This window comes from Homo sapiens, chromosome 3, assembly GCF_000001405.40.
Source record: "Homo sapiens chromosome 3, GRCh38.p14 Primary Assembly".
Lineage (NCBI taxonomy): Eukaryota > Metazoa > Chordata > Mammalia > Primates > Hominidae > Homo > Homo sapiens.
In genome coordinates, this window is record NC_000003.12 from 111,712,041 (window position 1) to 111,738,761 (window position 26,721).

Here is a 26,721-nt window from a genome sequence, read left to right on the forward strand (position 1 = left end):
GTTGGGGGGAGAGGGAGGCAGATGCAAAACACAGGCCCTGAGTGACAGTTGCTGCACCTAGATCCCTGTACAGTGGGAGTTGGTTTGCAAGGCCGGCCTCCCCCTGTAAACAGAAATTCTCCCTGTAACCTTTAGGGTCAGATTGCTCAAGAAGGCTCTTGAAGAAAGGCATAAAGACCCTTTTGGATAATTTGTACTTAATGCACTTTTTCCAAGGCAGAGTAAAGAATGGCACAGTCCTCTCGTTCCCTGAAATGTGGCCCACGGGCAGGCCCAAGATGTGTCTGACAGGTCCTGTCACAGGGCTGCACCGCCTCCCACCTCTCCCACGGTCCACTGCACAGGACGGCTTTCCTCACAGCCCCCAGGCTTACCACCTGGCCAATTACACCTCTACAAGGAAATCCTCCCCTTCCCCCAGGCAATCTGCTTATCATGAGCCTGTGATTAACCTCATTAACACACCGGTTTACCACAGACGTCATTAGCAGTCAGTCAGACATTACTCAAAACCATTAGAAACAACAAGAACAGCCGTTACCCAGTTCAGTGCAACCAGCCTGGTGCTCCCCAGCTCTGGGCCTTGGGGAGCAGTTAGTCAGGCACCTTAGTCACGAGCTAAATGCACACCGGAAATGAGGCTGACATCCAGAGCTCTTGTTCTTGGGTGCCCGGGAGGATTACCCTCTGTGGCCAACTATCCGGGGATGGCAGTCCAGGCCTCGTGAGCATGTGCAGGGCATTCCTCCAGGAAAAGATTACTAGTGCCTGGGACAGGGAAAAATATATTCCTTTAGAAACCTTCACAGCAGAGCTCTGAATTGGGACGATCAAAATAGCAGTTTCCTATCCCACAGCTGCCTCCCAGAAACTAATTAATGCTGTGGATGTAGCTTGCTAATTATTTTCAACATCACCACCATCCTGAGCGGTCCCTGTGGAGGCCAGTTGCCTCTGCAAAGTCTCCCCTGACTCAAGTGGCACACTCCCCACTCTCCTGGGAAGGGCAGTTCCAGGCAGAGCCAGCACACACGATTGAAAGTCTATTTACCCACAAATTAGTTCAGTGTTTTTATTTCAACTCCAAAAGCTGTCAGTTTTGTAATTACAGGAGACATAACTTCTAGACAGCGCTTGCTGCTCAGCCTAAGAGTTCTCAGCCTGAGGTCCAAAGCTTCCCCAGAGGGATATGAGGGTAGAATTTAAGAAGTCTTTAAATTTGGATGGGAAAAAAAATACATATTCATTTTTACTAAAATTGAACTGAAAATTAGTATACCCATAGATTATGAGGGCAGGCGGTGACCCACAACAATCTTAGCCCTGCCTGATTTTTATCTCCCTAGATGCGTCCATCTCACATTTTGGTTATCGCAGATATCTGAGATACCACTTATGCTTATCCCTAACTCACAGTTATGGGACTTATTAGACTTACAACAAAATATTTTTATTGAATGCATTTATCATGCAGCACATACATTAATTTATTACAAACTTATTTAATATATTGATTGCTATATTTCCATATCATAGATTTTCTTTGTAATCCTGTATATTGTATGCATTCATTTAACATGTAATTCTGAGAAGGGGGTCCATGATTTTAATATACTTCCAAAGGTATTTATGCCAACAAAATTAAGAATTTTTGAGTCAGACATATGGCAAGTGCTCTGTAAATCTTTGCTGATTTCCTAAAAATATATATTAATATAAACAGTTCTTGACTTTCCACATATGATTATATTTTCTTGCCTTTTTCCTAGCAGTCCGTATAAAACGGAGGAGTTAACATTCAGCATTTTTATGGATTGCTCTCCTTTTTGTGTTTTGAATATTTCAGGTTCTTATTTTCTACCACTGTCCCTTCTACAAGCAGTACCCCTTCCTGTGGCCAGGAAAGAAGATTCCAGCGCCCTGGGCAAACACCACAAGTGTGCGCAAACTAATCCTCTTCTTGGAGACCACTCTGAGTGAGCGGGCCTCACGGGGCTCCTTCCATGTCTCCCAAGCGATCCTCACCCCCAGAGTGAAGACCATTGCCCGGGGCTTGGTTGGGGGCCTCAAGAACACGCTGGTTCATAGGTAAGAATTTGCTTCCACCCCACAAGGAAAGCTTTTTAAAAAATATTTATCTTGATTCTATTCTGAGTAAATCGCAGTAAAGCCATGTAGTCTGAGGAGTTAGAAAAACAACAAAACAAGCAAAAAACTTTGTATTCGAGAAAACCATGCAGTTGAGGTGGATTGTATTAACAAAGGCTCTCTAAACACTTTGTTCATAAGTACACATCATACCATAAATACTGTACTCTCTAAATTTTGCTATAAGGCAAAGCACATTGAGCCAACACCATGTCTGTTCACTCCTGGTACCTGGCCACATGGGGTCCTGCCTGTGCCTCGCAGCTGACCCAGGCACTCATTTAAGAAGCATTCAATATAGGCTGCTGTCCTAGGTGCTAAGGATTCAGAGCTGGCCCTTCAAGAATTTGTTCTCCTTTCCATGGTGACCATGAGTCACTGAAGAAGCAGCTTAGGATGCCACCCACCATGCCCATGCTGTAGCTTCAAATACTTCCTCAGGGCAGAATTGAGCCTGGTTGTACAATTAGATAGCAGAAGCTTCAGTAATTTTGTATCAGATGGTGTTCCTTATCCCGGACACCAATGAATGATAGATGTTCTCAAGAAAAAGGATGGTTTATTTGTATGCGTGTTTGTGTGTGTGCGCGCACATATATGTGAGTGTGTGTATGTATGTGTCTATGTACCTGTACATGTGTATGTGTATATGTATATGTATAAAAGGAATGTTATAAATACATTTGGATAACAGGGAATCCCTTGCAATCCAAGCTAAGGAAGCTAATACGTTTGGGTAGCAAAAGATATTTACAAGAATCAGTTTGGTCCCTGAGTTTCAGGTTGACGAGCAGAGTTCAGATAATGAAAGATTCATCCAAAAACATGTTTCTATTTATTTGGTCCTGAGTTTAGGTAACATGAGTTCAGATAACAGGAGTTCACCTAGCAGGAGTTTAGACAGCAGGACTAGATTTTTCTTTCTTGGTGAGAGCTCCTGATTATGTCAACCATGGACAAAACCAGAAAGTGTTTTCTGTGTGGCTCTACTAAGTCTTGACTGAATTCATTATGCTGAACTTGGAAAAGTGAATTTTATAAACCAGCACTATATCTCTTTGAAAGATCCCGAATTAGAAGCTTTATTGTTTTAATAATATGTTTGTGTATCCACACTGTTTTCCTCATGCCTCTGGTATATTTGTAGATCAACATTATTTATATATTCATTCAACAAACATTGAGCACCTAGGAAGAGCTAGGTACAAAGATTCAAGGTGAATATTATACTGTCTGCTGTCAAGGAACTCACAGTCTAGCAGCAGAAACTGGCATGAAAATTTCTATAAAGCAATGTGAAATACCACTGTGAAGAAGTCTGTGCAGACAGCCATACTAATAATGGAGAGGGAGTATTTAAAAAACTAAGGATAAGTTATATCTGTATACCATATTCTGAATATCAAATGGCTTTTTGCAGATGATTTCATTTGATTCTTAAATCAAGTCAGCCTCTAGGATGGCACATTGTCTACAGCATATTATCATCCCCTCTTTAGATGGGATTCAGGGAGCTTAAGTGACCCCAATCCATACAGCTAGTAAAAGTCAAGAATACCTCTCAGACTCTGGCCTTCTGATCGTTAGACCACTGCCCTTTTCAGCGTTGGACACTGACTTGGATACTGCATATTTTTGTGCTTATTCTTTTCTGTTCCACAGGCCTGCAGTTGTCTTATTAGTACCTGAATCTGGTAATATCTCACAGGTTATAACTAGTAACCCACAATGTCACAAAGCTTTTCATATCTGTACATTCCTAAAACTTTAATCTGGCTGCAAGTGAAACATTGGCTCTTTCCTTTATGATGAGAGATAATGATGTTGGCATGCGCCCAAAGCCAAGGGATCCTACTATGCCAGAGCCCTTGCACTACTGCTAGCAGCAAGCCAATGTCCCCAAGCTTGGAAAGATACTTTCTTTGGCATCTCGCCCCCCTGCCGGCCATAAGAATATTGCAAGTATGCATGCATTCCTAGTCCTGCACATCAACTGAAGGAGGAAAATATAGCTCTGGTTGAGTTTGTTCCAAAAGGCCAGTGCAGAGTGTGGCTGTCATTTCCTCTGGGCTGTTGAACAAACATAGGACCTTCCCCTGTGTGCCAACACCCAGAGGGTCTGTCCTAACAACTGGTCGCTGGCACTGGTGGTCAGCTCAAACCAAGAAAAAAAAGACAGGGTATATTTTCTTACAAATGTAGAGGTGGTTTCTCGGCAGGGATTTAACCCCCTAACTCTTCGATAAACTTTGGAGCTAAGATCTTGTTCATTTTGGTTCAACACCGTAGAAGGAAGCCACAAGAAATATAGCCATTTGACTCAATTTCCATGGTGGTTTCTCCCAGACTTATAGAAACCTGAAATTCAGGTTCATGGCACTCTCACTGAAATCATATGAAAATGCTTTGCCTAAGCTTGAGGACAGAGCATCCATGAACTCTATAAGGGAACATGGACTGAAATCAGAAGGCCTGAGAGTGCAGCCTGACATGCTCCCTGTTCCAGGGTGCATTGTGTTGTGCCCCGTCCCATCCCCGCCATCCCCAAGCTCACATATTGAAGTCCCAACTCTCAGTTACCTCAGAATGTGGGTACATTTGCAGATACGGCCTTTAAAGAGGTAATTAAGTCAAAACGAGGATATTAGGGTGGGCCCTAATCCAGTCTAGCTGGTATCCTTAAAAGAAAAGGAAATTTAGACACACAAAGAGACACCACAGATATGTGTTCACAGAGGAAAGGCCATGTGAGAATGCAATAAGAAGGCGGCTGTCTGCAAGCCAAGGACAGAGGCCTCAGGAGACATGAAATCTGATGACACTTTGATCTTGGATGTCCAACTTCTAAAACAAGAGAAAATACATTTCTGTCATTTAAGCCAACCAGTATGTGGTGTTTTGCTATGGTAGCCCTAGCAAATCAATGCAGTCCCTGAGCAACAGGGTGGCCGTGGACAAGTTTTCTGAGGTCTCTGAGCTGTGGTTTTCTCACCAGTTAAACAGGATTAATAAACCTCATCAGATTGTAGCCTTAACATGAAAATGCCAGCCACAGTGGCTGGCAGAAAATAGACATGCCATCCCTATTTGTAAAGACACCCAGAAACACTATGGACCACCCTTGTTCCCAGCTGGGCCCCAAGGTCAAAGGGAAGTTTTTAACCTCCTGCTCTGCCATCCATGGGAACTGTTGCCTCACGGGCCTGTCAGCACTGTCAGGTTCAGCCTTTTGCACAGATCCCTTGTCCTGGTAAATACCAAGAGCTGAGAAAATAAAGTAGCTCCTCTTCACTGTGGGTTCTGCATTTCCCCTTCTTCGTACTTAATCCTAATTATTTGATCCTTGCCTTGGAGAAGGTTGACACATGCTACCCGAAGCTGACACAGAACTCTTTGTCACTGGAAACCACAGGTACATACCTTTCACTGCATTTCTCTGCTCAGGCTCCAGGGATCCTCCAAGGTGAGGAGGCTCTGGCTGCAGTGACTGGAGTTACAAGCCTTTAAGGCTCATTTCCCTGTAATGACCAGCAGAGGGCGCCTGCACCTCATACTTCAACACTGACTCAGGCTTTTAAAATGAAGTCTTGAATCTATCAGGTTCAGTACTACTGTGTCCTTGGTGTGGTTCCTTGTGTATCCTTGGTCTATCTTTAAGGAAGTCTGTATTTGCAGCTTCTCACTTCCAAACCACAACATGTTGTCACGTAAGCAGGAGGATGTGACCTCTTTAAGGTGTAGTTTCTTACTCCCAGCCACCAAATATTTCTACCTCACACTCTTCCAGTTATGATTCCTTACCTTTTTTTTTTTACCACACTTATCATATCACAGAAACTCTTCTAAACACTTTACATGTATTATTTTGTTTAATTCCCCAAAAATCTGTATGAAGCATTATTATTATCACTCTTCAGGAGTCCCCGTTCAAAATGGAAGTACCCCTGGGAGGGTGATCTTTTAAGTCATAATCAGCTATTAATATAAAAATATAGGCCAGGCGCAGTGGCTCACGCCTGTAATCCCAGTACTTTGGGAGGCCGAGGTGGGCGGATCACCAGGTCAGGAGATCGAGACCATCCTGGCTAACACGGTGAAACCCCGTCTCTACTGAAAATACAAAGAAATTAGCTGGGCGTGGTGGCGGGCGCCTGTAGTCCCAGCTACTCGGGAGGCTGAGGCAGGAGAATGGCGTGAACCCGGGAGACGGAGCTTGCAGTGAGCCAAGATCGCGCCTCTGCACTCCAGCCTGGGGGACAGAGGAAGACTCCGTCTCAAAAAAAAAATAAGATGATGGATAGATGATAGATAGATAGATAGATAGATAGATAGATAGATAGATAGATTGATTGATTTATGATATGTGTTTTAGCCCGTGGCTGATTGTAGAGTCCACTGAGAGAGGGAGGAGACCCAGGACTGATTATAGTTATGGTAAGAGAAAAAGAAAGAGGAGAAGGACAAAATGCTACCAAGGCCTGAACAGGGTTGTCTGGAAAACTGAGAAGTCAAGATATGTGCTGAAAGAAGGGCAGGCAGCATCAAGGGAGAGTTTCTTCTGTCTTCTTTAAAGCATTCTCAGCCTACTGAGTATGTATTGAGCTGTTTTTACTATGATGTAAACTGTGAGTACACTTTATTGCTTTCTTCTCTATGCTGCCTGTGGTAGTTTACACTTACTATTAATGCAGAAATTATCACATTGAATTTTCATTATTCCTTTATGTCACTAAATAACTGGCTGTCACCTAGGAAGCCTTTGATTAATAAAATGAGACTGAAAGACCGTTAGTGAGACAACTGATTAAGTATTGGTCTATTAAGAAGCCACACTTAGTGATCGAATAACTGTATATCCATATGAAAAAAGTAAGCCTTGACCTCCTACTTTATACCATAAACAAAAATCAATTTGAGATGGTTCTTAGAGCTAAACCTAAAAGCTAAAAACCATAAAGCTTTTAGAATAAAACATAGGATATGTTTGTAAATTTGGAGTGGACTGAAGTGGTTCTTAGATCACAGAAGCCATAAAAGAAAAAAAATGGACAAATTAGAATCTGTAAAAATTAAGGAATTCGGCTCATGAAAATATGTCACTGAGAAAACTGACAGACAAGCTATAGGCTAGGAGAAAATATTCACAAAATATATCTGACAGAAGACCAGTATCTAGGCTATATAAATAACTTCTACAACTCAACAATTTTTTTAAAAGAAAATGAAAAAATGAGTAAAAGAATTGAACAGATAACAGTTTTACTCATAATATCCAAAAAACTGGCAATAGCCCAAGTGTCCATCCTGCCAGTGTAGGAAACTGGATACACAAACTGCAGTATATACATACAATGGAATTCTCTTCATTGATTTTGAAAGGCAACGAACTACTGATACATGCAGCAACGTGGATGAATTTCAGAACAATTATGCCAAGTGAAAGAAAACTCACGTGAAATAATACATTTTTCATGGCTTATATGAAGTTTTAAAACAGGCAAATCTAATCTACAGTGGAAAAAAAAATCAGTATAGCTGTTGCCTCTGGGAGAATGGGGCAGGTGTTGATGAGGAAGGGGCTTGCAGGAACTTTCTGGAGTACCAGTTATGTTCTAGACCTTGATATGAGTTTGAATTATGTGTACGTATTTGTCAAAACTCGGCAAGTGTACCATTAAGATTTGTGAATTTTATTGAGCGTAAACTTTATGTTAAAAGAAGAACAAATTAAAAACAGATATTGAACTCCAGTTAATCATATGCATGCTGAAGTACTTAGGGAATGTGTATAGATGCTTGCAGTTGGAATATGTCAAAAATACAAGATGGATTGATGGAAGGATAGTGACAGATTGATGGATAGATATGTGGTAAGCAAGTATAGTTAATGGTGGGATCTAGGTGGTGGATATATTTGCTGCAAAATTCTTTCAACATTGCCATATGTTTGAATATTTTCATGATTTAAAAAAATTAAAGAACCCATTAAAGCTGAGGCTCTTGGTCTTAGTTTTTCTTTTTCTTTTTTCTTTTTTTTCAGACAGAGTCTCACTCTGTCACCCAAACTGGAGTGCAGCTCTTGGCTCACCGCAGCCTCAACCTTCCAGGCTCAGGTGATTACCCCTCCTCACAGACAGGGTTTCACCATGTTTCCCAGGCTGATCTCAAACTCCTGGATTCAAGTGATCCACCCACCTCAGCCCCCCAAAGTGCCGGGATTACAGGCATGAGCCACCGCACTGGGCCTGATCTTAGTTTTTCAAGTTCCTGTTGACATGGTATCTCTTTGATGCTGGAAGCAAATAATCTCCTCTTCCAGCAGAGAAACCCTGGAAAGTGTAATTTTCTAATGGAATAGAGACTACTTCATCCCTGAAGGAGATATAAAGCTTAAATGGAAATACCTCTGAAAGCTTGTGCTCTTATTAACATATTTTTGTAATATTAAGGGAAATGTTTTATGTCCATGTCTGGAGAAGACCCTCTAAGCTGTACTGTATCCACTCTCTTCCTCCAACACTTTCCTCTGTATAGGAATCTTCCTGCCATCCTGGACTGGGTGAAAACTCAGAAGCCTGGAGCCATGGGTGTCAACATCATCACATCTGACTTCGTGGACCTGGTGGACTTTGCTGCGACTGTCATCAAGTTGAATGACCTCCTACAGGAGGACACAGCTCTGGCTAAATGCTGATTTAATTTTTAATTTAACCTTAATGTTGAATTTGTTGATCCAGGGTAGAGTTCTAAAGGATGTCCTGTTAGGATGGCCCCTGGGGCAGTGATGATGAAGTAAGAGGAAGATGGCTTTTTTTTCTCCCTTCCTCACAGGGCCATTTAGATAAAATTACAGGGCTATTAATTGCATTTTTCCCAAATGAGACTTTTTTTAAAACTTAAGTCCAAGGGAAGAAAGCACGCTTCATGTGACCAAGGTCAGGACCTCCCCAGTGGCTTATGGTGGTGAATGGAATTTGGAAATAGGATCTCTAGGACCCATTGGGGTATTGAGTGTCCCCCTAATTGGCCCAGCTCCCTATTGTCGTCTGGGGTGTTGTGTTTGAGCCGGTGAAAAAGTTGAACCAGAAACACATTCCTGGTGAAAAAGACTGGCTCATTGCAGCTGTGGACCACCATCTGGGGTGGATCTAACATCAACCAGGGGCTCTGAGGGGGAAAAGAGCCAAGCACCAGGTCTCTCTAGGATTGTTGGATGTCACCACTTTTCTGAGAGAGTAGGACTCATTTATCACTAAGATGTTTCAAACACAAGCTGTTCTTTCATAGCGTATACTGGTAACTGGTCACCTCATTCTTCAGATAAACAGTGCATACTACCCTTAGTATCAGAAACATGCTTCCCAGTTTTAAAACTTGGATTCCTTTCTATTTCTTTTGGCCCCTTCTTAAAAGTGAAAAGAACAATGATGGGAGATCTTTTTAGCGTGGGGCCCAACAAGAGATAGATATGCATGTTTGCTGCATGCCAGATATCTTTTATTTAATTCTACAGCTTTTTCCAGAATGGCTGCCAGGTAGAGCACCTGCATCATTTTGGCAAAGTCCTCTTTGGAGTGGGGTCTTCAAGCCTGATCTTGGAATTGCGTTTTATTATTGTCTGCCTAGGACTCAGGTCTGCACTGTGGGACACAACGCTAAGTGGAAGGCCCCTTATCCATGGCACCATGGAAGCAGGCGCAGGATGCATGGGAAACTGCAATGGCATTAAAGGAGGAAGCTCCAAGTGGATTTGGAGCCATTCTATAACTCCTTGAAAACAAGACTACCTCGGGGATATTTAGGATGACTCGTGTGTCACCAAGTGAGAAATACCTAGTGTTGGAACATTTCCAGTCCTTCTCTTGATGGTTCTACTTTCTGCAGGTTGTTTTGAGCCTACCAATCACTACTGCATGAGGACTTTGAAACTCGAGAGGGAATTTTTTTTTTATCGATAAGAGGTGCTTATCTATAAGGAGCCCTCTTGTGTTTTGATTTATTTATTTATTTATTTATTTATTTATTTATAGATTAAATATCTGCCGTGCTTCTTACATCAAGAGCACTCACACAGGAGCTTACTGAACTTTTCTTACCCAGGATAGATGCTGCTATGGTCTTTCTGTCCTGAACAGGACCACGCATCTCAGGGCTGTGAGTGATTCCTGACTCTGCTGTTCATGTCCTGGCTCCCCCAGTCCTCCTGGGGACAGTATACATGTGTGGATGTGGTCTAGATCTGAGAAGTCACTACCAAGCCATGCCCATGAACGAAGATAAAATGGGTCGTGAAGAACTATTAGTTCATAAGTAGACCCTCCAGAAGAGTGTTGAAAAGAAAGGCTCTAGAAAGAAAACTAGGCATGGAAATGTGTGCACTTTGTTGCTCCTCAGCACCATCTGAGAATCCCTAAGGAAGTGGCAGCTTCTGGATTCTTAAGAAGGAAATATAAACATGGAGTCCCGAATGGATGTATGCATTTATAAAGATTGTCAGACTCTTCTTCCAGCAGTTTCCTGTTTCTGTCTTTTGATGCCCATAGATGGATTTTGCATGTTGCTTGCAGAGAGGGGTGTCCTAGGTGAGGTACTAAAAGCACATCCACACCCCCAACTCTTGGTCTTCCACCCTATACGTTCTGTAAAACAATTTAAGACCTGGCTTTTAGCTTGCACCCTTGAGGAGGTCATAATAGAAATGCCTCTGGGAAAATCTGGTTGAACTTTCCTTTTTTTGCATTTGAACCCCTCCCCAAAGGGTTTTCTGGGATAATGTCAAATTCTGTAGGGCCTTCTCTGGATAAGAGTAAGTAAGTGTGTTCCCTCGTTTTCTAAACTTTCCTTCAATTCTGATGCTAAATGCTAATGACAAGCTCTGAAATCCCTGGTCTACCCTCAGGGTTTTATTTTTGTTGTCATTTCATTTTGCTTTTGTTTTTAATTTTTGGTCAATTGCTAGGGGCTAGATCATTTCCCCACTTTTTACCCTTTGTTACTTGGCAAAGAGATAAGGAGGCAAGAGGAGAATTACTGTTCTCTGTTTTATTTGAGCCTCGGCTTTGTCCAGGTGTTTGGTGCTATGAGGCCAGGTGTGTTGACAAGTATCTACACAGGATGCCAGTAACACCCAAGGGCTGCTGACTGTTCCATGAAATGTTTACATGATTTTGTCCTTTAGTTCTTAAATATATGGTTGCACTTCACTTGGGTTGTAACATTTAAGTGCACCTCAGTGTTTGCATGATAAATGTCATCAAGCATGACACAAAAGCCCAGAAAACTGTACCAAGGTTGCATGCACGGAGTCCTGCTCTGCGTGGTGCGTGCAGGTGCTCACTCCTCCATGCTGCTTGGAGCTGCCAGCCTTGCTTGCAATTTGAAAGTCTGCACAAGAGTTCTGGGAGATAGGAGGATTATTTACAATTTTCCCTTGATAAACACCTTTGCATCAGCAGAATCTCTGCCTCAAGAAAAAGTTGCTTAACATATTGTAAAGGATGTGTGCCTTCTGCTCCTTGACCGTGAGACCAGACAGGAGAACTCAGGCATGTGGGACAGAGGGAAAACAGATTTTAGGTTCATGACTCATTCTGCAACTGCCAACAATAAAATAGTGACCCAACCACATCACTTATTCTCACAAGTTCTGGAGACCTTTCAGATCAAAACAAGGCTCTCATACTTGCTCAGAACTAACTTCAAGATCAGCTAAGAAGCTACTTGATTGAGCCAAAGAGGACTTTAGTTTCACAGAATTTTAGGTCATATTTATTCTGAAATACAACTGAGCTATTCATGAGCTCCCTGGACCATTTCCCACACAGCCATATTTCCATGGCTTTGTGGCAAAGGGGACCATCAAAGGTTTTAGTTCGGTTAGAGTAGTGTTTACAGGCTTGAACTTTGAGCCTTTTAGAGAGACCACCAGGATTTCATGGATACAGAAGGATTGGAGAGAGAGGTCGAGATGGACTTAATGGAAGGGAATAAGTTATTGAACATTAAATTTTAAATTAGTGGCAGACCTCCAAGAGAGTCATGCCAAAAAAGTTTTTATATTTGCTGTATTAAACTCAATGGTAATTACTTTTAGTCATTTTCCTTAGCACTGAATCTAAACCCTGAATTACCGAGAGCAGTTAAGCCACAGTCCCAGGATTTTATTATAAACTCAAAGAAAAGCACAAAATCTGAGCCCAGGTAATGATCCATCTTAGGAATCCTAGTTCTTTTTACATGATCTCATATTCATCCAAAAAAATTGTTTCTTCTCAATAAGACAACGTAGTAGAGTATTCTGGAATTAAATGCAGTTTTATGGCGTGGCGGGACTTTCCATCTCTCGTTTTGAGAATCTTGCCATGAGAAAGTGCTTCCCAATGAGACATTACTACCTCCCAGCTAGGAGGCTTAGCACAATGCTAAAGGTGGAGCAACAGAAGAAATTCAGATGGAAATGAAACTACTTCTTCCTGGGAAGTAAAAGAGCTACATGAAACCAGTCCATCCTGCAGATTTAGTTCATGCCACAGTTGAAGTTTGTGTGATGTTTCTTAGTAGCTAATTTCAAATTTTTACTGTTAGATTCTAAGAAACAGAGTGGGCTAATGATTGGAGCACAGCCATGAGACTCCGCTCCGTTAGCTGAGCATGTGATCCTGTGCTAAATCTTTCTTGGTTCCTTCATCTTTGAAGATGCTGTCTGCTACTTTAGTGCTGACTGATTTGCAAATCTTGGTTGATTAGCTCCCCAATCATAAGGTCCCTAATGATTAGATTAAATGCCTTATACTCAGGGGGTGTGCAGATATGCTATTCTTCCTTCTGTGGCTTGGGTGGAAAAGCTGCTTGGGCTTATTTCCCAACAGTGTGATGTAGGATGGCAGAACTTATCTAGGAATGGCACCTTTGATGATCCATATAATGAAATGTGTAGAGCTCAAAGAAATCTGCCAACATGTATGTGGACTCTTGAGAGGTGGGCTTTCCCAGTACATGCTAAACAGACTTGTTATGCCAAGAGGAAGTGAATAGAAATGATAGCATCAAATATCCAAACTGACAGGAAGTTTCTTTTGCATAGCATAGAACATGGTTGTCTTCTGAGTTCCACTAATGTTCCAGGATATCTTGGCCCTCTGCCTCTGGCTGCTCCCTGGTGTTTGGCACCATAGCGTTGTCACTTACAACCATTGCCTTGGGACACACAGAGTGAACTGTTTGAGTGATAAGTAATTTAGGTAGAAACTTTACCCTTAATTTCAAATGATACCAAACAGCTCATTACTACCCCAAGGGACGCTCTCCGTAGCTTCTGGATTCCCCAGTTTCCTTCTAGAAACAAGGACTCCAATAGCACTATAACCCTAAACAGGCCCTAACCCAGAAGAATACACCACAAAATGCGATTGATTTTCTCAAAATATCACAGTCTTAGACACTATACAAATAATTCAAGAAAATTCTTTCTACCCTGCAGTGGATATAGTATTCTATTATATTCTCCAGCAAAACTTTTAGGACTTTTCAAACTCATTTCTAAGCCAAATAGTTTAGATAAATATTTACCCTTATATTTGGGGGGAATTCAGGCTCACCATTTGCCGAGGCAAGCCCATCAACAGTCTAGAGGCATATTCTGTGTCATTCCTTCCCGTCTCCTTCATAGAATACTACTTTTTCCTTTTGTCTCCTGGCCATTCTCCATCATCTGCTGATTATTGCTAACCACAGGATGCTGGCAAAGCTTACAGTGATAGGCACGTGTGTTCAGTGATGTCCAATACACTCTTATCACAGTGGTTATTGCTTCTTACTCTTTTCAAATGCATTATTCTACCCCTCAACCTACATCCAATCATTAGAACTATACTGGAGCCCAGAACTTGGGACCAATACTTAATTCAAATAGCAGGGGCTTGCTCACAAACATTAAGCCCAACAAGAAGCACAGCACTTTGAAAAGTCAAATAGGCCTTTGGTAGCTCTGTACATTTGCAGTTTTACATTTGTTATTAGTTTATAGCACTAATAACACTTCAGTCGTGAATCTACAGTCTCAATATGATAAGTCTTAGAACATGTTCTAGAAATAGTGGTACCTTGCTGCTATTATACTTAGTAACTTATACCCCAATATAATAATAAGTATTAAATACAGATTGTGTATGCATTCTTTGTGTGTATATGCCAACTGTACTACTTAACCTCACTGATGAGCAATTAGAAAAATACAGAAATTGTCATAGTGAAAATAAGTCTTGGTCAATTCAGATGATACGTGAACCTGATAAATGCTCTAATAGATATGCTATTTTGTCCTGTATTGCTTGTTTTACAGTATGGTGCATGTTGTTTGCTAAGTAAAATGATAATAATAATAAAGTATACCAATTTTAAGGTTAGAATTAAAATTTTGCACATATGCTTCTTGATATTCTGAAATGTATTCTGTGGCTTAATTATCTTATTCATACACATTTCACTTGGCTTTTTACCCCTAGGAAATAATTGTCCAAGTATATATCTCGTCTTCTTTCTTGTAACTTTGATTAAACTGCTTACTTCAACTTACAACATTGTAAAGCCAGAATACCTCATTTTAACAGTGAAAAAAAATATGATGACCTGATGTGTTCTCTTGTATTTGATTTGAACTACCTAAATAGGCTTAACTGTAATAATAAATATACAATTTTGGCAGGCATTTTTTCCTTTGTTTGGATGAACATTTTGTTATTGGTCCACTTCTAATTTTGTCTTAAAGAGTTATAAACTCAGTGTCAATAAAACATCTTGTTATATAATATTGGACAAAAACCCTCTCGAGCATGTCTGACACATATTTGGATTAAGTAAATGTGCTTGCAGTCCCCAAGATTGAACAGTGCGTGAAATGTGTACACAACCTTGACCCCATGCTTTTCCAAGCTTCATCCTTAGCGCTTCAGTTATTTCCACTAAGCTTAGACCAGCTCTTATTGACATCCACACTCACCTGACCACCACCTCTACCCACATTAATTTGAGTGATTGCTAAAATGCCCAGAAATAAAACAATGCAGAGATAATATATTTGTGTATACAAAGATTAAATAAGGGTGGACCTGCAGTTTCTGCTGCAATGAAGATTCCAGTATCTTCCTCATTTCTAATTATTTTAATAGAATATCCAAGACCACTTAATTTAAGTGAATTCTGTGTTTCCCTTATCCTCTACAAAAAATAATCAGTTGAGACTTTTTTGTATGAATTTAGCAGAGATCAAATTAATTCTAAGTAACCATTAATTTCATAGAGTCAAAGTTTAAACAGGTAATTAAGAATAATTATAAGTGTTGAAGTTACCATAGCAATTTAACAACATAGTCATATTCAGAATGTTTAACTTATATTTATAGTTATCGTTTAGTAAATCTACCATACTGTCCTCTGGCTGGCTTTACCACTTACAGTCATTCCTGTGCAGTTTTTAATAATAAATTGCATGATGTAGATAGGGCTGGGTCCAAACATAAGCAAAGCATGTATAACCTGCATGGTGCAATTGCAAAGATACCACTGGCCTGCCTCAATTTCTGAACATATACTTGGGTTTAAACATTGCCTCTATAACAATGGAGCTCTCACATTATGTGTGAATTATTTTATATCTATTCACAGATTAATTTATCATATTACAACAAGGTTATGAACATTCTATTTAGCACAGAAGTTAAGTATAGGCATTTCAGAAGTGCACAGACCTGGGTTTCTATCTCAACTCCATACCCTGGCGGAGTAACCTTAGGCAAATTAACGTCTGTACCTACATAGAAGATAGGGCTAAAAATACCAACCATGAAGGGTAATTGAGAAGACAAAATAAGAAAATGCTTAGGAAGCATTTTAGCACGGAGCATGGCACATAGTAAATACTCCATAGTAGCTCTTAGTCTTAGTAATAAGGGACTTTGCACCCTCCTCCTTCAAATGGCACCCAACGATCACTTCAACATGATTGCTAACCTTTGTGTTAATTGGTAGATGATTTAGCAGGAACTAATTAATGAGAGGTAAGTCAATATAAATTTGACAGTGAAAGAAAACGTGAAATCCCTTTGTGTGGCAAATTCTTGAGGCTCTGCAGTGGAAGGTCAAGGCAGCTGGATGGTGCTGAGTGATTAGACTTGGTCATTCATCTCTCTGTCTTTCTCTCTCTCTGTCTTTCTGGGTGTGTGTGTGTTTGTGTGTGTGTAGGTGAGAGGGGGATGGTTGTAAGGGGCAAAGAGTAGAAGAGGGCGGGTGTGAGGAAGGCACTAGAGACAAAGTCCTGGGCTTTGGCTATTGGTGGTTTCCACCTCTGGAAGCTTCCTAATCTGGAGGTACTCATATTAATATATATTTCTGTACCTGATCCCTGAAGATTATGATTCTTTATATCTTAGGGCATATCTTAGGAGGAATACTTAGAAACATGTATTTTGGTGTGTAACCAGTTGGAGAGTTACTGAACCAAAAATGCATTACTCAGAGCGTAGCATTTATGCCACAGGTGGTATGCAAGATGATGTGAGGTGGAAGATGGCCATATCCTTAAATAGCATTAATGTCATTAATCACTTAATCAGTTCTGATTAGTCAAGAGGGAAGTCTCAGTTTAGTAATGAAACCTCTCTATCCCTTGCTTGTCAACTAAAACCAAAAAGGCAATAGTGTCTAGCTAACATTTAATCTCATTTTGTTCGTACTGTGTTTACGTTGTGGTTACCTTCTGTTTGTAGCAGGCAGTCCTAGGTTTGCAATAGTGATATAAAGTCCCCTTCAAAATAAATTTATCTAAGTTTTTTGAAGAGCCCACTATGAAAAAGCTATGAGAATGACCTAAGTTTATGATCCTTTCCAGGTTGAAAAAAAAAAATACAGTTGATTGTACCACTCATTTTTGCCTAGAACTGGGTTTGACTTTGTTCTTCGTAAACATTTCTTAGTAACTAAATACATGAAGAAACTGCTATTTGGAATAGAAAATTATCTGTTTTTTTCATAAGGGAACTTCCTTTATGTTTCCTGTGGAAGTCCATGCTCAGATAATCTATCTCCATGTTGTCCTGTAGAGCAGTTTAAACTAGGGAAAGAAAGGTCATGGAGTCACTGAGTCCCACCTATGGCTGAGCTTGACAAACAAGAAACGCAGAGTAAACTCCATTTCTTCAACTTTGAAACTGATTCCCTCTCTGTTAATCCCTGAAGTCAGGTTGCCTGATGTCCTGGATTTTTGTTGTGTTTTTTTTTCCTAAGGAATTCTTCCTGATCAGCAAGAAGTGATCGTGTTTATCCCTCTGCAAATCTACTCGGTATGACCAAAGGAGTGTTATTATTTTTAAGACTTGAAACCTTTCATTCTCGGAGAGGGTGGGAGGTTGCAAGGGAGGGACAGTGGCCAAAGCCCATGTGCCTCAAACCTCACCCGGGATGGCCTGGACAAGTGCCAGTGAGACAAAAGCACTAGTCAGACCAGGGTGTTTTCACAGCTGGGCAGTCAGTGTTTTTGGACAGCATGGGTGGGGAGGAGGCCACAGCAGTGTCAGCCTCTGTCCAGTAGCATCATGCAATTGAGAGAAGCCTTAGGCAGGCAGATGGCTTTAATCTAAGGAGCTAAGCATCTAAAGAATAGGATTTATCCTGTAGAGAAAGGCCATAAGAAGCAATATTCTTGTAAAAGGAGGCCACTGAATGCTGTTTTTTTGTTTAACCTGAGAACTGAGCTACTTTTTAGCCTGGAGACTTTCCTACCTTGATCCTCACTGGGCATTTGCACAATCCAGTTCCAGGAGGTGTTTCTAGGACCTCCATGAAGTATAAGGAGATCTGGAAGAAAACATTAGGCTGCCTTTTGCAAAAACTTCCCCCACCAACAACTTGTGAGTGTAGAACTAACTTACACACATCAGAGGGGCAGTGAACTACTTCAGGGGGGCTGAAGTGCCCCAAAATGACACAGACAATTTTAGATGTATGTGCACTTTTTTCTGGTAGAGGACCCATAACTTGCATCAAATTCTCAAAGAATTTATGATCTTAAAATGTGATAAACCACCGCCTTTCAAGGGCCTATGAGAATGCATTATCATTTAAATGTTGTTAAGCAAGCAAGGCTGACTAATTTAGGCTAGCACTGGCAAGTCTTTGTCCTTCCTATAAAAAAAAATCTAAGATTCTTGTGGAATTGTTCACTATAGGTGCTCTGTTTCGAGAGGTAAGGTCAGATCAGACAACTTGAAAAGAAACAGACTAGGCCAAGTTCAAAGGATCCTAAGGAATAGTTAGATGAGACCCAGCAAAAGAGTGTGGTCAGAGGAGCCAGGAGAACCAGGTACACTAGCAGACAAGAAATGGCAGGGGCACTATGTGAAGACTTGGGCACCACATTTCAGAGGGAAATGGCTAAATTGGAGCCTTCATAGAGAAGAGCAATTTGGAGATGGAAGGGTCCAGAAGTCATGTCACACGGAAAACTGGGGTAGTTGGAACAGGAAACATTTGGAGCAAGGTGACAGAGATATCTTCAAGTATTTTTAAATTGTTACATGACTTGAGTTTAGAATATTATGGCTTTAGATATAGAAGGGATCAAAGAACATTTGTACAAGGCATTAATGTTACAGGAGAGAAAACTGAAAGCCAGAGAGAACTGACTGGCTAAGGCAGAGGTAGGACTAGAATCCAGATTCCCTTCCCAGTACTGTTTGCCACCATTTCCAGCTGCCTCCCCAAGTGCCTTATGTGCGGGGAAGAGCTAGGACCAATGAATGGCCATTTTAAGAAGGTCGAGCTTAGCTTGATAAAGAGTATTCCTTTATAGAATAGGAAACTAAGTGAAACAGTGATCTCACCATCATAAAGAGTATTTCTGAGGAAATGTGTATTCATTTTCTATAGTTCCTATAAAAAATTACCACAAACTTGGTAGATTACAACAGTGCAAATGTATTACCTTGCAGGTCTAGAGTCAGAAGTTTAAAATGGTCAGTGGGGCCATGCTCCTTCTAGAGGCCCTAGAGTAGAATCCACTTCCTTGCCTTTTCAGCTTCTAGAAGCGGCCTGCATTCCTTGGTTTGTGGCCCCTTCCTCTACCTTCAAAGCCAGCAGCATATCAATCACTTACCCTGCTTCTGTCATCACATCTCTTTCTCTTTTTTTTTTTTTTTTTTTTTTTTTTTTGAGACGGAGTCTCGCTCTGTTGCCCAGGCTGGAGTGCAGTGGTGCGATCTCTGCTCACTGCAAGCTCTGCCTCTTGGGTTCATGCCATTCTCCTGCCTCAGCCTCCCGAGTAGCTGGGACTATACAGGTGCCCGCCACTACGCCCAGCTAATTTTTGTATTTTTAGTAGAGACAGGGTTTCACTGTGTTAGCCAGGATGGTCTCCATCTCCTGACCTTGTGATCTGCGCCCCCTTGGCCTCCCGAAGTGCTGGGATTATAGGCCATCACATCTCTTTCTCTTATTCTGACCTTTCATAAGGACCCCTGTGATTACACTGGGCCCACCTTGATAAGCCAGGATAATCTCCCATCTGAAGATCCTTAACTTGACCACATCTGCAAAGTCCCTTTTACCATGTAAGATAACATACTCATAGGTTCTGAAGATTAGGATGTGGACATTTTTGGGGGGCTATAATTCAACCTACCACAGAACGTGCGGAAAGGCTTATTAATGCTGGTGCAGGTATTAGAACAGATCTGGATTCAAATCTTGGCTTCAGTACCTACTAGTTGCATGACCATTACCCCTTTGAGCCTTTGTTCCCTTGTGCATAAAATAGAAATAAAATCTCAACATTACCATCAGGATTTGTGGTAATATGCATGAAATGCATAACATATAATACTCTCTCAATGAATGGTAGCCATATTTATTTAAAAAACTACCAGATGCTTCTCACCATACAAGAATTTAATAGAAGAAACTCCACTATTAAATAGGACATTTGATAAAGTGACTTCCAGATTTCCCTCTGAGATTGCTGAAATCTAAAGGAATAAAAATTTCGTTTCCTCTATAAACTATTCTCGGGGCCTCTTGTCCACTTCCCAGATGCAGTTACAAGGGAATCACTTTTCTGGATAGCCAATGGCTATCAGACTGTGCTTTCTGCCCCCCACAGTCCTGCCATCTGATTTTTCCATGCAGCTCTGGTTGGATTTAAGCAGGACTAGCAGTCTGTCCTGGTGTGTAATGATTGGCTAGACCAGGCGGCTGAGGCCAGGGCAGACTCCCTCCTTCACATCTGTCAATATACCTGGCTGCAAGCAAGTTGCTGCCTGTGACCACAGTCTGCAGAGGCCAGAGAGAGCAGGAAAGGAAATGGAAAGGAACCTCACCTTCATGCTTGGGGAAAAGGAGAAACCTGTGTTAATGTGTCTTCCCAACATCCCACTCTCTTCAGCAATCGCTGGAACAGCCATGGGCCATCCCTGCTGAGTCAGGAAAGAAGCTGAGGGAAGAGTCGGGATTGAAAAGCAGCAGACAAGGTAGGTGATCTCTCTGGTCACTGGCCCTTCTCTTGTAATAACAAAATGAGCAGCATATACAGCCTCGTCACCAGAGTGTTTCTGAGGAGGGTCTGCTGGAGATATGGTAGACCCGGGTGTGTGTCTGAATTCAGTCATTTTTCTATCAGCCTGTTCTGGAAAGCAGGCTGTATTTTCCTTCTGTCTTCTATCTCTTCTGAAAATTGTTGTTGCTCCTGTACGTATTTCAGAAACTTGGAAGGTTTTTTAAAAATTTTTCATTATAACAAATTATATGTGCGATTTATTAAAATGATTTCATTGGTGGTAACTCCACAAGCATGGTTTTGTTCCAGAATTTTCGTTGCATAATTTTTTTCAATTTTCAAGACATACCAGAGAGGACAGTGTACATATACTGTAGTATATGGTATAGAATAATATATTCCGAGAAATATACTGTCCATTCACAGGGCTGTCAACCTCGTATGATAGGCTCTCCCAGGAAGTCACGTATATTTTTCTGCTTTGGAACCTAGAGAGTTAAAAGTCCTGAAATTACTGGAGCAGAATCAAGCCTATTTACCTAAGCTTATCACATCGGCAGCCAGGTCAATCATTTACTGAGACTAGGCCGTTTCTTACCCTGAATCAGGAGGACCACCAAAGCCTTTGCTGGCCTGAGTCCCTCTGTAGCAAAGGCATGGGCAACACAGAAGAAATGCTCCTCTGAAGCTATAGTCCAGATTCTCTTCTCACCAGAAGTAAGTTTTTCTCCTTCCGAGAATAGTAAATATCCCAAGACCCCCCTTCCCCAGCTCAATGATAAACAAACATGAGCAAAACTAATATGCAAACCTGATGATACCAATGCCACTCTATGTACAAAGCTTGTGGCTTTGGAGGGAGCTTCCCTCATCACTGGAGGTCTATGGGGAAGAAGGAGATGATAACTATGAAACAAGTTATTGAGTGATTCTTGAGGAAGAATAAAGTTATAAAGTAATCACCAAGGAAAACATGGAAATTTTCCCCTTCAAGTCTACACACTCTAGAAATATGTAATTTTTATCTAATATGATTCACTCTTCCTTAAGTCTGAATATAACTCCTCTAATTGCAGAAATGTTGTCATATGGTCACCACATACAACTTTCGGGCCTGTGCAGTGGTTCCTGGCTCCTATAGTCATTAGTTAGAAGCCTAGTAATGCTGAAGTCCTATTTTTCTGAACTCCCTTTAGGGAAGGAGTTGGGTCATGTAGGACAAGGTAATGTTTGACATTATTTTTGTCAATCAGTTGTGGAACTGAAGTGACTCCCCTCAGGCAGGGTTTGTGGCTGAATATTTAGTGTCTGAGGCAGTTAACTAGATGCAAGAGTGGAGGCCATTGTAGACATAAACCCTTGTGTGACTTTGGGTAAGTCTGTGGCTACCTCTCAAGAATGTTGTGGAGAATTATGGAAAACTGATACGTTTCTGTGAAGATATTAAGCACTGCAAAATGTTAAGTGTGAATCTGGCTGGTATCCAGAGGATGTTCATAGATAATGCAAGTGATGGAGGTGGTTTTGACGAGGGAAAAGGATCTTGGGGTGATCAAATGCATTGGCTAGGTCGGGCATGGCAACCCATGCCTGTAATCCTAGCACTTTGGAAGGTGAGGCAGAGGATTGCTTGAAGCCAGGAGTTCAAGACCAGCCTGAGCAACAAAGTGAGCCTCTGTCTCTACAAAAAATTTTTTTTAAAAATTTATGCATTGGCCATATTTCCCCACATTACTGAAGGCTGCCTTAGGGACAGACACACAGGTCTGACCTGTCCTTTTTTTGTAGCTTCTGGCTCAGGGCCTAAAACAAACTGGAAGCCCCTAAGGGTATGTACAGCTTTTTCTTTCCATTTCCTGAATATTGGATAGTAAGTAGAGGGAGACTATTCTTCAGATTGACTAGATTAGAATAGGCATTGTCATTGTTTTTCAACGTTAGGTAGTTAGAATATAGAAGTTAATTAATTTGCCCAAAATCATGCAATTAGTCTGAGCCAGGATTCTACTCAGTTCTGCCTTGTTCCCAACCCAGTGCATTTCCCATAAGGTCATGGAGTTGACCATGTGGATAAGCATAAATTGGAGGGTCACTGAGGTAAGCAAGGCTGACTAATACAGTCAGAAGTTCTGAAGTTCTCCACTGGCTCTTGGATGTGCCATGCCTGAGCCTCTGTAACAAAAAGGCCAGTAGTGGACTTCCAAAAAGGATAAAACAGGCAAGAGCAAAAGCAAGTGTTTTTAGTCATGGCAGTCACTGGAGTCTTCTCTGTCCTGTATATTTTCTAAATAACCCAGATAATCCTCAGGCTAAATCTTTGTCCCTTTTTATACTGTAGACTCAAATTCTGAGCCCCAACTAAAGTACAACATCTGAACTCTTTCCAGAGAAGAAATGACCCTATCCCAATCTTTCTCAAGGAACTCAAGAATTTACTATCTCATCTCAGCAAATACCCACTCATTTAAATCTAAGAGACTTGGGCACAGAGAGGCTTAAAGCCCGAGAAACCATCAACAGTCCCTCCTGTCAAGGCTCTCACCATCTGCAACCCAAAGAGACCCATGTCGGCTTGGAGTCTAAATGGCTTTTTGGTGTCATTTGAGCAGTGAATGAGTAATGTACAGCAGAAGCCTTAATCCGCCCCCCACCCCTAGTTTCACTTTTGTTCAGATATGTCCTAAAGATTCCATTAGCTGTCTGTCATAAATTCCAAAGTAGCCACAATTCCTGAGCATTTACAAGATCAAGATAAAGAAATGCCATCATGAAATGAGGTCGACTAAATGTCTTTGAACAAAGGGTTTCTAGTGACTTGCCTCACATGTATCTCAAGTGTGTGATAGCAAAGGCATTACAAATAGAGATTGCATCACCATGTCTACCAGCACCCTTTACTAATCAACTGACCTTGCATGAACTGTACTTACATGCCATCATTTTCATTAACCAAAACGCTAGGAGAAAGAAAGTTGAAGCTAAAACACAAAGACTCATCACAACATTTCACCTGTGTCAAGTACTTATTATGACCAAAACATGAACTGCTGCCTTCTTATCTACACTTTTTTTCATTTAATTTTCATAACAAACCTCTGCAACTTGCCCAAGTCACAGAGCTAGTAAGATGAGGTAAAATTTGAGTTGGGATCTGAATCCAAATCCCATGTTCTTCAGCATTCTGTTCTGGGAAACATACTCACCCAACAGTGTCTACACTGTTCACGTTCTAAATGTAGAAGAGTAAAAAAAGTTCTTTCTAAATTATTTGATCAGATCCTTAGAGTATATATTTATTCCCCCTTCCCACTCACACAAGATGTTCTTGATGTTCTTGAGTGTAAGCATAAAACTCAGTATGACAGTGGTTTTCCTCTCCTCTAGAAAAGGAACCACAAAACACACATGCACACATGCACACACACAATAGCAATTGCCCAAGAGTCAGTGCTTTGATTCCTTTCTGAAGCTGAGAGAGAAAATTGTTCTTATCATCTCCTAGTTTATAAACATTGTTTTGTTTGTTTGAGTGATTGACTTTAACATAATGTACAAGACAAATTTGTCATTTATTTTACCAAGATTTTTTTAAAAGTTTATTTCTGCAGTGAAATTTCAGTCTTTGAAATCAGCTAAATTTTTCAAAACTGTCCAGTATGTCAATAGTTGTATTTAATCTTCACCACAGCCCTGTAAGATGAGTACTGTTTTCAGATGATATCCTTTCAGATAAGGAACCTGAGACTCAATACAGGTGAATGGCCTTCTCAGTCTCACTCAGCTAAGTCCCTTAGATCTTGGGACTCCAAATTTTTTGTTCTTTTTTAAATTAAATATTCACGCAGTTCCCTGGATTCCTAAGTCCTACAAATGGTAGGAATGGGGCCTACAAGCTTTTTATTTAAATTTTCAGAAATTAAAAATGCCAAATGACTACACAGCCTGTTCTCAGGCAGAGACCACTCAAATATTGATTGCTTTGCTTTGGGCTAGAATTCTGTCAGGTCAGTGTGGTAATGCTGTTATTCTAATTAGATTTTCACAGAGTAATGAAAATAAATACATTAATTGTTACTTAATAAAATCTTCCTTAAAGGCAAAAAATCTTTCAAGCCCATGTGCCCATGAGCAAAATAAGATATCAAAGGGGTTCTTGCTAGAAGGATAAGCCACCACTGTCTTCTAATCAGTTGTGTGCCTAGAGAACGGTATACATGAGTAGGGACTAGAGACCCCACAGTGTCTTGAGATGCACAAGCCCTCTCTAACCCTGTAATCAGATGGATGTCTCATGAGTCAAACAGTTGCCAAATGGCATGGAACCTAAGGAAGTCCTTCTACAAATTGAGAATCCATTATTGTAGTTTCAACCCTACAGAAACCAGCTACAGTTACAGGAGGAAACCTTATGCCCTAGGAATTCCATTTAAGTCCTAAGATGTTCTGAAGGGTCCGGGAGCCCTGCATCAGCTATGCATCTGGAGGAGATCCAGTGTTTTCTTATCCCTAATGTTTCACTGGGAATTGCCCCTGGCTGGCTGCCTGAGTCTCCATCCCATGCGACAGTCATGTTGTCCACATCCTTGCTTTGGTGTTAGTGTGCATCCTCATCATACTTTTTGGTCCCCATTTCTGTGACTTCTGAGGTTCTAATGATCTTGGTGCAGGAGAACCCATAGTTTTGGGCAGTGATCAAGCAGAGTGAATGAAACTTCTGCCCCTGACCCACCCAAAACTTGTTCCCCTCCTCTCTACAGTTCCAAGGTCAAGTTTCCCATGAGAGCAGTAAAGGAACTGAAGGTCACAAAATGCTGGCAATTCACCATGCCTTGGAGGGGTTCCCAGAAAGTAAAATGAAAATGAGATTGTTTTCACATAAGACCTCTGTATTTGGAGGACAGGATTCAAACAGTTTGAATGTGCAATTTCACTGTGCACTGAGGTAACCCCCACAAAGTCTTTTTTTTTTCAAAAGCCAAAATAATATCAAAAATACTTCCTGCAGAGAACTCTAACTAGGCAGAATTCTTTTTTGTCATCACTGGGTTGATGTTTTCAAGGATTCATTTCTCAAGATAAGCCTTATATAGTGCATTTGGCTGGAGCTCATGTGTACTTCTGTGGAATGATGGCTTTCGTCCATGGGGCCTACTTTGTGGTGATCTCATTAGGTTTCACAAGGTAAACAGCTGAAAACTTGTGGTTAGTATGTGAGCAGGCTTCAAGAGAAGAGAAAACCCAGGAGAGGTCGGCCAGAAGATGTTGCAGTGAATTGGCAGGTGGCAGGCTTCTCTCTGTGACCCAAGGAAAGCCAATACCCCTACGAATTCCAAGGAGATGTACTTTTAATTTCAAATACATGTATCCCACAAAATTTAGCTCTGCTTCCTAGCTAGGAATCCTAATCATAGGAAGAGCTAATGGCTAGACTTCCCAGAACGTGACTGTTCTCTACTCAAATTCATCTCATTTTGCTTTTCTTTGCAAAATGAAAATTCTCCATTTTCCATAAGAATAGTATTGTTATAGAATACAGTTGTGTTGATAAATTATAGTCCAACAAATTAAACTAAAATAGCCCAACAGAGGCATCCTAGGCCTGACATCATTGTTGTCTTTCTCTGTGGCTTTATGCCAATTTTTACACATCTTGGGGATGGCTTAGTTTCACATCTTTACTCATCTGCGTTCTAATTTTGGATAACCACAAACATTTATTGATGGGTTATCCACTCAGTTCAGCAACAATCATCTACTCTTTCCCAGAAGTGTGTTAGACACTGTCTTTGACATAGGATTAAATAATCTTGCCACTTACCAGAGATGAGAAGGTTTTAAATTTATCCAGTAGGCCAAACCACAGCTTCTTTAGAGTCCTCTATATTTGTGTGTATGTTAGTGTGTGTGTATGTGTGTGTCTGCCTGTGTGTATGTATCTGTGTGTGTATGTGTACTTTTAATCATTATACAGTACCAAGAAGATAATGGGTTCTCAGTAAATATTTGTTGGTGATACTAAACTAGTAATCAGC

The 26,721-nt window shown here is 40.9% G+C and overlaps 2 protein-coding genes across 2 annotated transcripts in view, besides 2 other annotated features; both read left to right on the plus strand.

Annotated features, from left to right (window-relative positions):
• PLCXD2 (phosphatidylinositol specific phospholipase C X domain containing 2) overlaps window positions 1-14,967 on the plus strand; it is a 52,332-nt gene extending 37,365 nt beyond the window's left edge. The window contains exons 3-4 of the mRNA NM_001413064.1: window positions 1,847-2,088; window positions 8,683-14,967. Coding sequence (NP_001399993.1) covers window positions 1,847-2,088; window positions 8,683-8,842 — 402 coding nt within the window. The 3' untranslated portion in view covers window positions 8,843-14,967. The remainder of the gene's footprint in view (window positions 1-1,846; window positions 2,089-8,682) is intronic.
• Window positions 14,942-15,236: a silencer, noted in NCBI's record as "tiled region #10775; HepG2 Repressive DNase matched - State 7:EnhWF". NCBI's record gives its function as "represses a minimal TATA promoter and a strong SV40 promoter by Sharpr-MPRA in HepG2 cells {active_cell/tissue: HepG2}" and the evidence as "EXISTENCE:reporter gene assay evidence [ECO:0000049][PMID:27701403]".
• Window positions 20,456-26,721, plus strand: part of PHLDB2 (pleckstrin homology like domain family B member 2) — a 244,022-nt gene continuing 237,756 nt past the window's right edge. Inside the window, exon 1 of the mRNA NM_001134437.2 lies at window positions 20,456-20,663. The gene's annotated coding sequence lies outside the window, so the exon portion shown is untranslated. The remainder of the gene's footprint in view (window positions 20,664-26,721) is intronic.
• Window positions 22,589-23,788: an enhancer, noted in NCBI's record as "P300/CBP strongly-dependent group 1 enhancer chr3:111453476-111454675 (GRCh37/hg19 assembly coordinates)". NCBI's record gives its function as "activates an origin of replication core promoter dependent on BRD2, BRD4, P300/CBP, MED14 and CDK7 cofactors, with strong dependence on P300/CBP, by STARR-seq in HCT116 cells {active_cell/tissue: HCT116}" and the evidence as "EXISTENCE:reporter gene assay evidence [ECO:0000049][PMID:35650434]".